This window comes from Homo sapiens, chromosome 9 (genome assembly GCF_000001405.40).
Source record: "Homo sapiens chromosome 9, GRCh38.p14 Primary Assembly".
NCBI classification, from domain to species: Eukaryota; Metazoa; Chordata; class Mammalia; order Primates; family Hominidae; genus Homo; species Homo sapiens.
The window spans coordinates 129,377,766-129,395,126 of NC_000009.12; the positions used below are offsets into that span (position 1 = coordinate 129,377,766).

At 53.1% G+C, this 17,361-nt stretch overlaps 2 annotated features.

Moving 5' to 3' along the window:
- Positions 5,692–5,911: a silencer, noted in NCBI's record as "silent region_20372". NCBI's record gives its function as "represses an Ori minimal core promoter by ATAC-STARR-seq in GM12878 lymphoblastoid cells {active_cell/tissue: GM12878}" and the evidence as "EXISTENCE:reporter gene assay evidence [ECO:0000049][PMID:35858748]".
- Positions 6,062–6,181: a silencer, noted in NCBI's record as "silent region_20373". NCBI's record gives its function as "represses an Ori minimal core promoter by ATAC-STARR-seq in GM12878 lymphoblastoid cells {active_cell/tissue: GM12878}" and the evidence as "EXISTENCE:reporter gene assay evidence [ECO:0000049][PMID:35858748]".

Here is a 17,361-nt window from a genome sequence, read left to right on the forward strand (position 1 = left end):
TTCGACGGACTCCACATGAAAGGAGTGCTTCCTGCCCGTTTTCTTATGTAATTCTCACCACAATGCTATAACGCAGGCTTTAGTAACCCCATCTCCCAGAAGAGGACCACACTGAGGTCAGAGGGTGTAGCCACCAGTCCAAGGTCACATAGCAAGGGGCCAAGATTCTGACCCTAACCCTTGTGCTATGCCTTTACCACCCAACAAGACAGATCATGGTGCAGCCTTCAGATACCAAGATGCTGACGACAGGTCTTTACACAGAAGGATGTCGGTGGCATAGTGTTGGGTGGAAAAAGCAGTCGAGCACGTACCATTTTTGCAAAAATAAAAAGCACATTCAGTGTGCAGAGAAAAAAAGCCTGGAAGGATTTACTGTGCACGTTAGCAGGGAGGTTACCTCTGGGGATGGATTCAGTGATTTTTATTTTCTACAATGAGCACATACAGCTCTTGTCGTCAGGGCAAAATATTAAAAGACAAAACAGCGCTGGCGGTTGGACTGACCACGCCTGCCTCTGAGGTGGTTCTGGGAGGTGAGAAAGAGCCCGCTGCAGCCCAGCCGGCCTGGACCCCGGCGTCTGGCTCTCCCCTGCCCTTGGTCTTCTCCCCAGCACTGTCCGTACCTTCCCTGCACCTGTGCTTCTGCGGGCATCGATTTTTCCATCCTTCAGAGAAGCGCCTGAGGAAAAGGAAAGAGCATCTTCGGATCAATGAACACAGCCCTGCAGCCAGGGGTGGGGGTGGCCGCGGGCCGCGCCTGCTTGTCACTGCCGGGTCCAGGATTTGAGGGGGGCTCAGCGGGGGAAGGCGAGACTGGCTGGGCTGCCCAGGGCGGCGAGTGTGTGTGTGTGTTGGGGGGCGTGGGGAGTGGTGGAGGGTAGGTGTGGTGGGGGTCTATGTGAGGTGTGGAGTCGGGGGGTTACATACACGTGTGTGGTGGGAGATGGGTGAGCATCCAGGGTTGCATCAGGGAGGGGGTGTCGTGGGCTTCCTCCGAGGGGCTGCTCTTTGCCTAGAGGAGCAAGGAGCGGTGCAACCTCCTCTGTGAAACACAGTCTCCCACTAACTCAGTTCACAGCTCTGTGAGGAGGGGCTGGTACACACCCATTGCCCAGATGGGGAAACCGAGGGCTGCGTGTGTTCGTGGTGGGGGCGGGGAAGAGGTGGATGGAGAGGGCAAAACGGCATTGTTTGTGTCAACTGCAGAACAGAATCTTGTATTCAAGAGGCAGTCTCGTATTTGAAAGGCACTCACCTGTTCTGGGCACTGGGAGATGAGTGGGTGGGGACAGAGAGGGGGCAGCCGAGGCTCCCTCAGGAGCTCACAGTGGGTGCAGGGGGTGGAAAAGGAATGCTCCTGGGCCTATCGGGTCAGTAAACCCAGACTCTACATTTGCTAGGCCTGTCTGAGCCTCACCCCAGCCTCTTCTTTCCTGGCCAGATCCCTTCCCGACATGTCATGTGCCCAAACCCTGGACCCCTCACTCCTGCTCATTCCGGCAGCCCCCACAGATGGCTCTCAGGCCCCAGAGCTCTCTGTGCTTCTGTTCCAGGGCAACAGGAACAAATGCCCTACGAGAGCTTAATTCCCTGCTTACCGTCTGCTCCCCTCCCTGCCCCCGGTCTAGTCTATGAGCTCCTCTGGGGCAATCGGGCTGGGACTGTGGGGCCCTCCTGGCTCAGTCTGCATTGCCCGTTGCCTGGCCTGGCACCAAAAATGGCTCAACATACATTTATTGCATGAATGAATGAACCATGATCATTGCTAAGGAAAGAAATGTGCAGATGGCCTGCTTTGGGGTTCAGTGTGCGTGTACTGCGTTGGTGTCCACGTGCACGTGCAGCATGTGTGTACCCCTAGGCACACACGTGGTGTGTTGCATTCATGTGAATCCATGTGTGTGTGTTTGTGTGTGCACGCACATGCATACAGTGCTTGCTTGTGTGTGCAGGTGTGCGTTCACATGTCCATGCCAAGGTGCATGCATTTTTATATGCCAGCGTGTGCATGTATATGTTTACCTGTGCACACTCTGTGTGCAAGGAGTTAACATATCTTTCTCTCACGTTTTGCTCTCCCCCTGACCTGCATCCTGCAGCCTACCTTTCTGCCTTGTATTTTTTGAGACAGGGTCTCACTCTGTCATGCAGGCTGAGAGCAGTGACACGATCACGGCTCACTGCAACCTCAACCTCCTGGGCTCAAGCCATGCTCCTGCCTCAGCCTCCCAAGTAGCTAGGACCACAGCTGTGCGCCATCACATCCAGTTAATTTTTTTCTTTATTTTTTTTAATTAACTACTTTATCACAAACAAATACTTTGCTTTTTTTGGCGGGGGCGGGGGGCGGCGGGGAGAAGGATATCATTAGTTACAGCATCTGACTTTGCCCTGTACATGGTCCAGAAAATGCAGGTTGCATCCAGCTTGCAGGGCATCCGAGGGCACTCATCTTTCTTCCATTTGTTTTCATCCAGATCAAAAGCAAGAATGGAATCCCTGAGATAACTATTATAACAAAGGCCTCCAAGAACTATTATTTTTCTGTGCAGTGCAGTCACACCATGGCTACTCCTGCCAATTGGCATGGATGCCAAGATGGTCCACTGATCAGTCTCTGGGCTATATACGTCTGTGGAAGGGCATCCCTGAGATTCCAAAGAGGCCCTCAAGATCACGCAAACAGCGCCAAGGACAGAAAGAAAATCCTGGGCCAGGCATGGTGGCTCACACCTGTAATCCCAGCACTTTGGGAGGCTGAGGTGAGCAGATCACTGGAGGTCAGGAGTTTGAGACCAGCCTGGCCAACATGGTGAAACCCCATCTCTACTAAAAATACAAAAATTAGCTGGGCATGGTGGTGGGTGCCTGTAGTCCCAGCTACTCGGGAGGCCGAGGCAGGAGAATCACTTGAATCAGGGAGGTGGAGGTTGCAGTGAGCCGAGATTGCACAACTGCACTCCAGCCTGGGTGACAGAGTGAGACTCTGTCTCGAAAAAAACAACAACAAAAACAAAACAAAACAAAACAAAAAACCAAACATTTCTGAATAATTTTTTATTATTTGTAGAGATGGGGTTTCACCCTGTTGCCCAGGTTGGTCTCAAACTCCTGGGCTCAACTGATCCTCTGGCCTCGACCTCCCAAAGTACTGGGATGACAGGCATTGAGCCACCTCATCTGGTCCCTTTCTGCTTTCTGCATTCTCCAATCCCAGTCCCTGCCCCTCCCACCTCCAGCAACAGTCCCCACAAAAGACTCCAGCTCCACCTGACATACCAGCCACATACCATGGCTATGCTCAAGCTCCTGGAGCCTGCATCTGCCTGGAGGAGGCGTCAAGCATGCAATCTTGTCTGGATGCCTGCCTCTCTCAGTCTCCTCATCTGTAAAATGGGGTTAAGAGCCCTGTGCTCACAGCACTGCTTTGTCAAAAGGATGCACACGAAGGGCTTGGGCCAGCACCTGGCACAGAGCGAGCGCTCAAGAAATGCTACTGCCGGGACACTAGTGACGGCGGTGATGATGGCGATGACCCTCCTCTGGTGGTGGCAAATGAGGGTGATGAGGCTCAGCCTTGCTGCGTCCAGGGGACTTCAGGAGGGGCTGGGAAAGCCCCTGGGGGAGCCAGAAGATCAACCCCTTCTCTGGGCCATTGTGTTTCTGGATAATGGGTGGAGGTGGGAAACGAGAAAGGTGCAGGCGCTTGAAGAGCAAAGGCTCCTCCTAGAGCCGCTTCTCCAGCCTGCTGCAGCCAGGCCTGGGTTCCCCATGGCAGCTCCCCCTGCCCTCTCCACGCCAGTCCTGTGTGAGGCATGCACTTGAAATCAAACCCAAATTCCCCTCTGCAGCCTGCATGCCCCTCCTGGCCTCTGCTCCTCTGCTCAGCCACACAGCACGTTCTGTCCCTCAGGGCCTTTGCATAGGCCTGGGGTACTCTGTCCCCGGGCTCCCTCCTCCGGGAGGGCCTTACTCCCCATGCGCTCCCATCTGTTTACCTGGCTCTTCGTGTCTTCCGCATGTGGCTGAGCTCCCAGCGCAGTGGAAGGCTCTCAGTAAAGATCTGTGGGATGGTAGGGGCGGAAGGGCGGTGGCCCTCTCTCTGGCTCCCCGGATTCCAGTCCTCACAGCCCATTAGTAAGCACCTACTGTGTGCCAGGGCCCAGCCCAAACTAGCCAGTGGGGTGACCTTGGGCAGGTGGCACCACCTCTCAGACCCCTAGTCTGTCCATCTTTAGCATTAAAGGAGGCACAAGTCCCCGAGGGCTCCCCACTTTGGTTTTTTTTTTTGTCTTTTTTTTTTTTTTTTTTTTTGAGATGGAGTCTTTCTCTGTTGCCCAGGCTGGAATGCGGTGGTGCGATCTCGGCTCACTGCAGCCTCTGCCTCCTGGGTTCAAGGAATTCTCCTGCCTCAGCTTCCTAAATAGCTGAGATTACAGGTGTGTGCCACCACACCCAGCTAATTTTTGTATTTTCAGTAGAGACAGGGTTTCACCATGTTGGTTAGGTTGGTTTCAAACTCCTGACCTCAAGAGATCCACCTGCTTTGGCCTCCCAAGTGCTGGGGTTGCAGGCGTGAGCCATGGCGCCCGGCCCCTATTTTGATTTTGATGGTGGGTCTAGGCTTTCTGCAACTGGGCAGTCTGCAGAGCTCTGTGGGGCCTCTGGGGTCTGCAGCTTCCTGGGCACCCCCCAGACTCCCATGTGGCTGCCTTTGCTGAGAGCACCCTCCCTGCTTCTCCTGGTGCCTCCAGGGGACACCCCCTGGCTCAGGCCTCCTTCAGAGCTGTCCTCACACCCCATTTTGATTGTTTACCCCTCTGTCTCCCACTGGGCTATGACTGGGACAAGGCATTTTCTTTTTGCATCCTAGCTTAGTTGGGGACACCCTGTGTGGCCAAGTGTCCCCAGGCTCACCCAGCTGAAACAAGATCTGGGAAGGGTCTGGCAACCCTCCCACCAATAGCTTCCCAATGGGAAGAAGCCACACCCTTCTGTGTCTGTTGAGAAGCTTTGGGGCTGTTTACTGCCCACCAAGCTCTCGAAACTGTGGCTCTCGAAACCCAGAGGGAAGGGGAGCCTTATCACTAGTCATGGCTTCTGCTTGATATCTGTCCAAAAGGCCTGACTTCATCAGCCAACAGGCATCCCAGCCTTTTCTGTTAAGTTGGGGTCTGTTTCCACACTGAGAGTCCCTGGGGGGCCTCTGGAGTGGGGATGCAGGCATGGCAGAGCACTAGGTGGGCACCCAGCTTCTCAGACCTCTCTCTTTTCCCACCCAAGCTCCAGGGGCAGAAAACAACCCACACCTGCCAGAAACCTGACCAGGCTGCAGAGCTGGAAAAGCTGGTTTAGTGCAGGGAGGGTGGGGGCAGGGAGGCGGGCAGGGTGAGCCCTTCTGAGGCTGCCAGGCGCTGCTCACATCAGCCGACTGGCCGTTGGCCTCTCAGGACTGTCACTTGGAAGTTCCTTCTCCAAGAGATGGCTATTGCCAAAGTCATCTGTGCAGTGACCACTGCAGGGCCTGGGCGCTCCCGGGAGCCGCAGCGCAGGGACAGTCCGTGCAGACGGGTGGCGGGGGAGGCGGGGGAGGGCAAAGGCCTCCACTCTGCAGGTAGCCCGGGCCTGGTGGGCGAAAGGACTCAAACGCCAGAGCTCTCTGACCCTCGGCCGCCAGGGTTCAAGGCTGGGCCCAGCCGCGCTTTGCCGGGGTCCAGGGCGTGAAGGATCGTGGGGGACCCGATGGATCCTGGGGCGCCCGCTGGGGGCCTCGCGCGGGGACCTCCCGGCTGCTTGAGAGGCGGAGGCAGCAAGAAGCAGGAAAAGGAACTGGGGGGACGCGAGCGAGTGGCAGGCCCTCCTCGGTGGCCGCCGAGCGCGCGCCCAGCTTGGGGAACGCGCTGCCTGCGCACCCGGGCGCGCCCGGGAAGGCCGGCTCGCTGGCACCGCGTCAGTTTCCGAGCTGTCTGTGCATGTCTATTTCTTTCACTAGAGGTTGCTCACTTTCACTTCTTGGTTCCTTTCGCCTCCTCTGACGGCTCCGGGAGCGTCTGTGCGCGCGCGTGTGTGCGTGCCCGTGTGCCCGCGCGCGACCGGCGACCCCGCCCCGCGCCCCTGTCCCTAAAGGGAAGGGCGTCCCGCCGGGCGTCGCGGGGCCTAAATGAACATGGGAACCTGCGCTGGGGAAGGCCCGCCAGGCCCTGCTGGCCCAGGAGGCCCGGATTACAGCCCAGTCTGCGTCGCTGCGGGCAGAAGACCGCGTTCATTACCGGTGCCCCTCGTCCCCACCCACTTCTCTCTCTTTCTGGGTCTCCAGACAACCTTCCCGGAAGCTGCAGCTACTTCTTCTGACTTGGACTGGGGGTAGGGTAGGGTAGGGGGCGCTTTCTGCCACCCCTTTCCCCCATCCCAAGGAAACCGAGGCCAGTATGGACGGGGCCTTGCTCCACTGAACAGGAAGCGACACCCTGAAACTTTTGCTTGAGCAAGTGAGGTTTGGATGGGACCGAGAGGGACCTCCGCAGCTTCTCCCCTCCTCCCCACCCACTCCTTACAGTTCTTTTACACACCCTGTTCCTGGGCCCTACCTCAGGGCCTTTGCACGAGCTCTGGGCTCCAACAGGCCAGAGACCTCTATTCCTCACTAATTGACCTTAGGCAAATTCCTTAACCTCTCTGAGCATCCATTTTCTTGGCTGTAAGATGGGCTCAGAATAAGATGTTTGAGGGTTCAAGGTGATGACCAATACAGAGCACAGGACCAGGCACTTAGGGCAGAGCAAAGGACATGCGTTGGGCCAGGGCAGTTGTGGGGATTATACAGACGCTTCCCTCGCCTGGGGTCCCTCCACTCTCTCCAGGGAGCCTCTTCACCTTCCACCCACCCGCAGTCCTCAATGGCTGACTTTCACTTGGTACGATTCCCTGCCCCAATCCCTGCTGTGAGGACCATCCGGTGGAAATAGAAAGAGGGCCAGGTCTGAAGGCTGGAGAGCTGGGTTCAAATTCTGGCCAGTTCTGTCTGGCTGTGTGATTATGTGCAAGTTGCTAGGCCTCTCTGTGCCTGAACTTTTTTCTCTGTGAAACTGAGGCAGAAGGCTGCCTGGCCTGCATCTCAGGGCCCTCAGAGGATGAAGCAGAGCGCGGTGGGATGTCATTCCAAGCAGTGAAAAGCCTCAGACAGAAGCATGTCGCCACTGTCATTTACACCCGTCCTTGCAGCATGGATTCAGGCTTGAGGAATCAGCTTGTCAACCCCATCAGAGAGGTCCCTGCCTCCTGTGCTAATGGGAGGTGGCTGGAAGGCCACTTCCAAGAAATTTGCAGCTTGATGGGCTCTACCACTCACATGTAGCCTTGGACATCAGTTCCAACAAGGAGGGTACTTGAGGCACGGTGACAGCCCCAAAAGGGAGTGTCCTGGGAAAAGAAGCAATGTGTACTTCTCCAATGAGTAAGGCCTTGGCCAGGGACCATGGTGCGACCTTCCTCAACCCTGCCACCCGGCACCGACATTGACTCTCCCTCACCCCACATACTCCCTCCTGGGCACCAGCCCCCGAAAGGACCCAATGTAGTGGCTCCATCCAGATCTCCCATGCCCCTGTATCAAAGCTGCCATCTTTCCCCCAAGTTCACTGCTCCTCAGTTACTGACGCCATCACCCACCCGATTCTTCAAGCCGCAGGCTCATGGTCCACTGGTTTTCTCAAGACAGAAGCACTGACATTGATTTTGCTATATGCGTACTGTAAAACCACAGACGATATAAAACATGTGCATTGGAGAATGAAAGTTCCCTCATTATATGCCCTCCTGAAATCGCCACATTTCACAGTTTGGTGAATTCCTGTATCAGTTTAAACTCTGTGTTACAACAGACAGAAAATCCAACCAAGATAGGAAATAATGGGCTCATGTAAGGAAATGATGCAGAGGTGATAGTGGGTTTCAGGCATGGTTTGATCCAGAGGCTCATGATGCTGTTGGGGCTCTGTCTTGGCTTCTCTGCAGTTCCCGTCCCTTTGCCTTCCTAACAGTATCAGCTGGGCCCATTCAGGGTGGTGCAGTGACTGCTGGGGTCCCAGAGAGTCTGTCCTCAACACTGCACCATCAGGCACAAGATGGATTCATTTGCTCCTGAGGATAAGTGAGGAAATCTGTTTCTCAGAGGTGCGCTCATCCACTCTGGGGAGGGTCAGAGAAGACTTCCTGGAAGAGGCAAGGCCTAACCTGAGTTGGTGTCTCCTCCTTTACATATGCAAAAGCAAAGTCCCCTTTCACCTTTATGAAACTTGGAGCTCAGAAGTGTTAAGCGATGGGGTTGAAGAGGCTGAAGTGACCGTAGGGCCGTGTGCATGAAAGTCAAAGGCAGATGGGGCTAGGCTGGAGCACCAGGCTGTGTGGCCTCAGGAAAGCAGGACCTGTGGAACAAAGGCACACGAGCCTCCGGATTTATTAGGAGGGATAGGCCCAGCCCCCAAATGCACTCCAGGATTTGTTTATATTATTGTTATTGGAGGCTTTGTCATTATTGCCACTTCAATAGAGCCCTCGGCACAGTGCCAGGCACCCAGCAGGCACTTAGGATGTAACAGCTGGGATCCTGGCCAGGCGTGGTGTCTCACATCTGTAATCCCAGAACTTTGGGAAGCCAAGGCGGGTGGATCACCTGAGGTCAGGAGTTCGAGACCAGCCTGGCCAACATGGCAAAACCCCTTCTCTACCAAAAATATAAAAATTAGCCAGACGTGGTGGCAGATGCCTGTAATCCCAGCTACTCGGGAGGCTGAGGCAGGAGAATCACTTGAACCTGGGAGGAAGAGGTTGCAGTGAGCTGAGATTGCGCCATTGCACTTCAGCCTCGGCGACAAAAGTGGAACTCCGTCAAAAAAAAAAAAAAAAGCTGGGATCCTGATTTTCATCCCCAGCTCCCTGGGGCAGAGCAGGCTGTGGCTGGGCCCACCTGAAACCCACCCCTCCGGAGGAATGACAACCTTCACCATTAATGAGCAGACAAAATGTGCCATGGGACAGGCTCAGGCAGAGCCAGTCTCCCTGGCAGCGTCCTTCCTGCACATCCCCTCACTCTCCACCCCCACCTCCCAGAGGGAGGGGGATTTCCAGGCTGGGGTAAGTCCTCCTGCTCCCTCCATCCATCTGATCCTGGCTATGCGTCTGGCTGTCCGGCCATCCTTCTTCTTCCCTGGCAGACAAGCCATTAAGCACCGGTCCCCCAAAGCACCGGCCTGCAGCCTCAGCACCAAGTGCATTTGCTGCCATTAGCAAGAAGCCCCGGCCAGGCTAGTCTGGTTTAATGCACAGCCCACTTCATCCCTACTCCCTGGGGACTGCTTGTCAAAACTCCATCCATTGAGGAATAACAGAGCCTGAGAAGAAAAGATGGGGGCTCCAGGACCCAACATGGACAGTCGTGTAGGTTGCTCACTGCACAAGTGGAGCTGCAATGCAGCCAGTCCTCCACTTGCCAGGCTGAGGGCCCTGGCACAGGCTGCATTCTGCACATGAGGCGGTGCCCTTTTCTAATCCCTTCCAAGGTGCTATAGGGGAAGCACCATGGCCTATGGGGTTGTGGGAAGAAACTACCTGAGAACTCGCGGCACCACATCTGTTTTTTTTTTTTTTTTGAGACAGAGTCTTGCTCTGTCAGCCAGGCTGGAATGCAATGGCACGATCTCAGCTCACTGCAACATCCGCCTCCCAGGTTCAAGCGATTCTCATGCCTCAGCCTCCCAAGTAGCTGGGATTATAGGCGTGCACCACCACACCTGACTAATTTTGTATTTTTAGTAAAGATGGAGTTTCACCATGTTGTCCAGGCTGGTCTCAAACTCCTGACCTCAGGTGATCCACCCGCCTCGGCCTCCCAAAGTGCTGGGATTACAGGCATGAGCCACCGCGCCTGGCCGCTACATCATTTTTTTTCAAGTTGCATTTTAATTAAATTCCTTTTGGAGAACAGTTCTATGAATTTTATCTCAAGCATCAATTTGTGTAACCACCATCACTATCAGCATCCAAAACAGTTCTATCACCTGAAGAGGCTTCCTCTTCCTATCTTTTTGTAGCCATGCCCTGGCCTCACCCCTAACCCCTGGCAACCACTGATCTCCATCTCTATATTTTGACTTTTGGAGGGTGTCATATAAATGGAATTGTGTAGTGTGTGATCTTTTAAGATTGGCTATTTTTTTCACTCAGCGTTATGGTCTTGAGCTCTGTCCAAGGTTTTGCCTCTATCAATTCTTGGCTCCTCTTTATTACAGAGTGATAGTCCACGGTATGGATGGACCACAGTTTGTTTATCCATTCATCCACTGAAGGGCATTTGCATTGTTTCCAGGCTATTACAAATAACACTTCTATGAACATTCGTGTATATGTCTTTTCATGGACCTAAGTTTTCATTTCTATGGGATAAATGTCCAGGAGTAGGATGGTTACATCATACTATATGAATACATTTCACTTTTTAAGAACATGCCAAACTGTTTTCCAAAGTGGCTGTATCATTTTGCATCCTCACCAGCAATATACGAGAGTTCAAGTTGCTCTGCAAACTTGTCAACCAGTATTTTTTTTAGCCATCTAAGGAGGTGGGGAGTGATATCCCATTGTGATTTTGACTTATATTTCCTTGGTGGCTAATAATGGTTGAGCACCTTTTCATAGGTTCAGTTGTCATCCCTGTATCTTCTCTGATGGAGTGTCTGTATGAGTCTTTTTTTCCACTTTTAATTAGTTATTTTTTTTTAACTGTTGAGTTGTTAGAGTTCTTTATAGTTTCTGGATACAAGTCTTTTGTCAGAGATGTGATGTGCAAATATTTTTTCATAGTTCATTCTCTTATCAGTGTCTTTCTTAGAGCAAAAGTTGTAAATTTTTATGAGATGAAATTTATCATTTTTTTCCTTTATGGATTAGGCTCCATTGTCATATCTAGGAACTCTTTGCCTAATGCCAAGTCCCAAATTTTTTTGTGTGTTGTTTTGAGACATAATCTTGTTCTGTTGACCAGGCTGGAGTGCAGTAGGCAATCTCGGCTCACCACAACCTCCACCTCCCAGGCTCAAGTGATCCTCCCACCTCAGCCTCCCGAGAAGCTGGGACTATAGGTATGCACCACCAAATCCAGCTAATTTTTGGGAGAGATGGTGTCTCACTATAGACCCCATCTCTTTAGTATTTTTTTAGTAGAGATGGGCCTCACCATATTGCCCAGGCTGGTCTTAAACTCCTGGGCTCAAGCGATCCTCCCAAACCAGCCTCCCAAAATGCTGGGATTATAGGCATGAACCACTGTGCCCAGCCCCAAAGATCTTTTCCTAGGTTTCCTTCTAAAAGTTCTTTACAGTTATAGATCTTATGTTTAGATCTATGATCCACTATGAGTAGATCTTTGTATATGGTGTGAGGTAAAGGCCAAGATTCATATTTTGCATATGAGTGTCCAATTATCCCTCAGTATTTATTAAATGAAGAAATGAAAAGCACAAAGGATCTGATAGCAAGGCTGGCAAAATGAAGGAGGTCAAGACTGTGTAGTAATCAATGAATAAAGAAAACTTTTTTTCAACATACGAAGTTTCAACAAATGATGAACAATTGGATATCTTGTGTGTGTGTGTGTGTGTGTGTGTGTGTGTGACAGAGTCTCACTCTGTTGCCTAGGCTGGAGTGCAGCAGTGCGATCTCAGCTCACTACCACCTCCACCTTCTGGGTTCAAGCGATTCTTGTGCCTCAGCCTCCCGAGTAGCTGGGATTACAGGCATGCACCACCTTGCCTAGCTAATTTTTGTATTTTTAGTGGAGACAGGGTTTCACCATGTTGGCCAGGCTGGTCTCAATCTCCTGACCTCAAGTGATTTGCCCACCATGGCTTCTCAAAGTGTTGGGATTATAGGTGTGACCCACCATGCCCAGCCAGATTTTTTTTTTTTTTCTCTGATGCAGTGTCTCTTTCTCTCTCACCCAGGCTGGAGTGCAAACAATCATGGCTCACTGCACCTCAGCCTCTCAAGTAGCTCAGACTTCAGGCATGTGCCACCACACCCGGCTACTTTTTAAATGTTTTGTAGACACGGGGTCTCACTTTGTTGCCCAGACTGGTCTCAAACTCCTGGGCTCAAGTGATCCTCCTGCCTCAACCTCCCAAAGTGCTGGGATTACAGGTATGAGCCACCGCACCCAGCTTGGACATCTACTTTTTAAAAAATGCACTAAGTGCATTTGCTGCCATTAGCAAGAAGCCCCGGCCTGACTAGTTTGGTCTAATGCACAGCCCACCTCATCCCTACTCCCTGGGGACTGCTTGTCAAAACACCATCCATTGAGGAATAATAGAGCCTGAGAAGAAAAGATGGGGGCTTCAGGACCAACATGGACAGTCGTGTAGTTTGCTCACTGCACAAGTGGAGCTGCAATTCAAATCTCATATCTTATACCGAAATTATCTTGCTCCTTTCAGATTAGAGGAGGGTCAAAAATTAATAATAATTAACTAGCAGACTGGAGATGGTGGCTCATGCCTGTAACCCCAACATGTTGGAAGTTCAAGGTGGGAGGATCTCTTGAGCCCAGGAGTTTGAGACCAGCCTGGGCAATGAAGCAAGACTCCATCACTACAAAAATTACAAACATTAGCCAGGTGTGGTGGTGTATGCCAGTAGTTCCAGTTATTCAGGGGGCTGAGATGGGAGGATTGCCTGAGCCTGGGAGGGGGTTGAGGCTGCAGTGAGCTGTGATTGTGCCACTGAATTTCAGCCTGGGCAACAGAACAAGACCCTGTCTCAAAATAGAATAATAATAATAATAATAAGCTAGTAATGGATCATAGATTTAAATGTAAAATATAAAGACAGAGAGCAACCAGGTCTGTATCACGTGGGATTCTCAGCCTGGCCCCACTGTTGGATGATGCAGAAGCAGTGAGGATTATGGAAGCTCAAGGGACAAAGTCACGTGGGCACCTTCTGTGTGGTCACACCTGACCTGTCCCTGAGTTTAAGGATGGAAGGGAGGGAAGTAACATTTTTCAAGTGTGATCTCTGCACTGCAACCTCCACTAAGTGAGTTCTTAGCTTCGTCTCATTTAATCCTAATACAAATCAATACACTTTTGGAGGTTGGAGTTTTTATCCTGGCTCTATGAGTGAGAAAATTGAGTTCAGAGAGGTTAAGGAACCTGTCTGGGGTCACATAGTAAATGGGGGAGCAGGGCTTGGACCCAAGGTATTCACCTCTGCTAGAGGCAGACGGGGGACAGTCAGGCCAAGCTGATGACTGGACCTGCATTGTTGCCCACCTGGTTTTAGGCCCTTGGTCAAGGTGGGTGTGGGGCATGGGAGCCTTTTTTCCAATATTCTGGGGCGATCTGAGGCCTCCATTTTCCCAAGAGCCTCAGCTCAGTCCCCTTCTTGATGAGGCCTCCTCCGGGGTGGCTGTTGTTCTTAGGAACTCACCAAACCCATCCCCAACAGTGGGGCACCATCCCAGGCCTGACAAGGGTGGATGCGTTGATGTCCTGGTGTCAAACCCTCCTGGATGTATAGAAATAAGCAGAAGGACACGCCCCAGACCTGGGCCGACCTGTGTCCATCCCTGCCTCCTGTGACTCGCCAGCCGCTGCAGCCGACTGACCTTCTCTAAACTCCTTTTGCATTCCCACTCCCACACCGTTGCCCAGGCTGGAGCCTCCTCCCAGGATCCCTTCTCCACCTCCTCTCCCTTCTTCAAATGCGGCCGCTGTTTCAGCATTCAGCTCAAGTCATGCCTTTCCCAGCAGCTCCCACGAGCTCTCTCTCTTCTGAACTCCTGCAGCTGATAAATACGGTCTAGTCCCCCATGGTCTCAAAAGCTGGTGTTTGCCAGCATAGCCTTCTAGAGAGGCATGGACCTTCTAGAGCCTTCTAGATGCTCCCAGAGAGGCATCTCCAGCAGTCTCATGACCAAACAGCTTGGGAGTGTTCCAAGGGTAGGAGCTGAGTTTTAAGCCCCTCTCTGCTTGGCACAGGGAAAGCTGGTTCCAGCCCATGGCTCAGGATCTGAGAGCCCAGTCTGCCATTTCTTTGCTGCGTGCTCAGTGCCTGGCACAAAAACTGCTCGATCAAGGGCAATAGTTGCTGCTGTGGTTTTCACGGTTATTATTTTTATTATCAAGATGATTTCTGGAACCGTGTATGGAAAGTGGGAGGGTCCAAAGTCCTCCTCGAGTAGGAAGCCTCCCCTCCTGGCCACTCCACTCCCCCACTCCTGAGGCATGCCCACCTTTCCTTCCTGGTGACCTGCTGCTCCCAGCTGCTCCTCCAGCCTCCCCAGCATGGCTGCAGGCTCCTGTAGGGGATCGGGGTGGGTGGGGACAGAGGCGGGCTTTTAATTCTTCTTCCGCCACTCAGAGCCTTGAATTGACCCTCAGTGTGACACTTAAGGGGCCCCAGGGATGCCCGGATCAGCAGAGGGGAGTGGGCTCTTGCCTAATGGAGTCCACCCAGGGCCCAGGCCTCCTGCAGCCTGATTAGATTTTATGATCCCAAAGGAGCTGCCCTGGATCCCTGCTCACCTTCAAGCCTCATCAGCACCAGGCCCTGTCCATTGTGAATTTCAAACACAGCCTCTGCTGACACAACCTCCACCCCGGACCGCTCCCGCAACCGCGTACCACCCCCTCTACCCCGCCCCCCCAAAGCCACACGGTCCTGCCCTGTCACCAGGCCGCCACCCTCTCCAACCTAGGTGCTGCCAGGCCTCTGCCCCTCCCAACTCTCCTCCCCGCCCACCTTTGCCCAATAGCTGGGGATCCATTTCTAGAACACAAATCTGGTTGTACCCCCACCTCCCACCCCTCAGACTCCTGCTACTTTCAGCAGAGGGTGGGGGTTGGGGGGCTTCTCTTGACTTTCATGTATAATTATCACCAGGGGAAACTCTTAAAGATAGCACCTTATCCTTATCGGAGCATGGCCTCCTGGGTAGGGCCCAGGAATCTGCATTTCACAAGTCTCCCTTCAGGCTGGGGGACTGTGGCCACGTTCTGTGGACCAGTTCACGTTCTGGTGGAAAACGCTGAAGAGACAAGAATAAAAATGAGAGCCTGGCAAGAGTTCTTTAGCCAGCAGCGTCCTAGCTGCTTCTCTGACTTGGAAACATCTAGACCTTTTCTACCTGGACCTCCATTTCTACTCTTGCCCAGGGCCCACACGTCAGGGGTGGGCCTGCTTGGAGCCAGCTCTTTAATCTCTCATCTGCAGGATAAGGTGCAGGGCGCTCAGCTTGGTGAGTGAAACCCACTCACTTGGGGCCTGGCTCCCTCTTTGGCTCCTACTGAACGCCTCCCTCCTCCACATCAACCCCAGCACTCAGCCTATGGTATTTGAATGTTTTGGGCAGGTTCTTGCCTCTGTGCCTTTGCACATGTTCCCTCTGCCTAGAACATTCTTCTTCCACGTATTCCCTTGGGGAACTCCTATTCCTCCCTCAAAACCCAACTTAGATATCATGATTCTTCAGGGCCCGTTTGTTCCCTCACCCCATTCTCTGCCTGCATGGACCCTGCTTCGTTATAATTATTTCATCCTGCTTCTTCTCTGCAGGCAGCTTATCAGCTTTACCATGATGATTTTAGAATGAGGAGATCTGGCTTTGCCTCCGGCCTTTATACTTTCCAGGGCTCTGAACTTGGGTGTTATCTACCCACCTGTCTAAAGCCTTTTTGTTCGTGATAAAATGGGGACTTAAAGTATTGCCCACTGCGTTGTGTTACCTTGACATTGAGACAAGATCTCACACGTGAAGGGCTCAGCACAGCATGTGGCACGGAGTCACAGCACTGGTTATTTCTTTTCTTTTTTCTTTCTTTCTTTCTTTCTTTCTTTCTTTTTTTTTTTTTTTTTGATACAGAGTCTCGCTCTGTCGCCCAGGTTGGGGTGCAGTGACATGATCTCATTTCACTTCAACTTCCGCCTCCTGGGTTCAGGCAATTCTCCCGCCTCAGCCTCCCCAGTAGCTGGGACTACAGGCACGAGCCACCACGCCTGGCTAATTTTTGTATTTTTAGTAGAGACGGGGTTTCACCATGTTGGCCATGGTGGTCTCAAACTTCTGACTTCAAGTGACCCGCCTGTCTCGGCCTCCCTAAGTGCTGGGATTATAGGCATGAGCCACCGCACCCAGCCAGTACTGGTTATTTCAACGTCTTTCCTGTGGGCAGGCAAGCTCTGTGAGGCCGGGGAGGGCATTTTCTTCATCTTGGGATTCATGGAGTCCAGGGTGGGGCATTTCCCAGGGTGGACCCCAGGAGGACAGATCTGTGGGTGGCTCCGGGCTCTGCTGCTCTGCCCCTTCCCTGGAAACTGTCCCCACTCTGAGTGCCATTGTTGGCTGTGCTGTGGGGATAGGGCCTCATGTCCCTCGGGGGGGGTCTCCATCTGGAGGGAAGGAAGCCAGTGGGGCCCACGGGGTGAAGGGGCAGGGTTGGGGGCACAGTCAGGACAGAGGGGCTTTGACCTTCAGAGCACCGTTGGCAGAACTTGGGGCCTTTCCAAGGGGGGCTGCCTCCATTCCGTCCCCTAAGGACCTGCCCAGCATGGGGGGAGCAGGGCAGGGTGCCCGGGAGGCATGAGGACTGGCCCCAGCTGCAGCACTCGGCGAGAATCTCTTGATCTCTCGGCTGCACTGAGAGGCGGAGGCAGCCGGGCCCTGGAGATGGTCTCCATGACAACCGCTGCCACTCACTCCCCATCTCGGATGTAAATTAGTTACAATTTTATTAGTGTGCAGAATTTCAAGAGGCCAGATCCTGTCTTGGAAGGGAAAAGGATGGCGCGGGGGGACAGAGGAGAGTTTCCGAAGCTTCACACCCCCGCAGGGACCCCAAACTCCAAGGTAGATCCATGGACAGTGAATTGGGCTGCACGCCCTCATTCGTCAGCCCTGGTCAGGCTCTCTGGAGAGGAGGAAACACACAACACAGGCCCGTCCCCACTCTTCTGGCCGCCTCCTCACAGCAGCCTGGGAGCATTCCCTCCACAGCAGACAGGGAGGCGGCTGAGAGCCGTGGGGGTCATTAGCTGGTACAAGGGCACGCAACTCGCCAGGAGCCAGACACTGGCTCTCCCCCTCTGCCCAGCAGACCCCCAAGGTTGGTTAAGGTTCACTGAAACACTGCTGAGCACCACATACGCAGGCAAGGGCATCCCCCAGGGGCTTGGGCATCTGGACAAACATCAGGCCCTGGGTGCCAAGAGTCAGCATGTAGAGCCACTATCCTGTGGCCGGAGGTCATGTGTTTGTCCCCTCTAGCACTGGGCAAAGACGGCTGGGAGGATGGATGAAAAGATAAA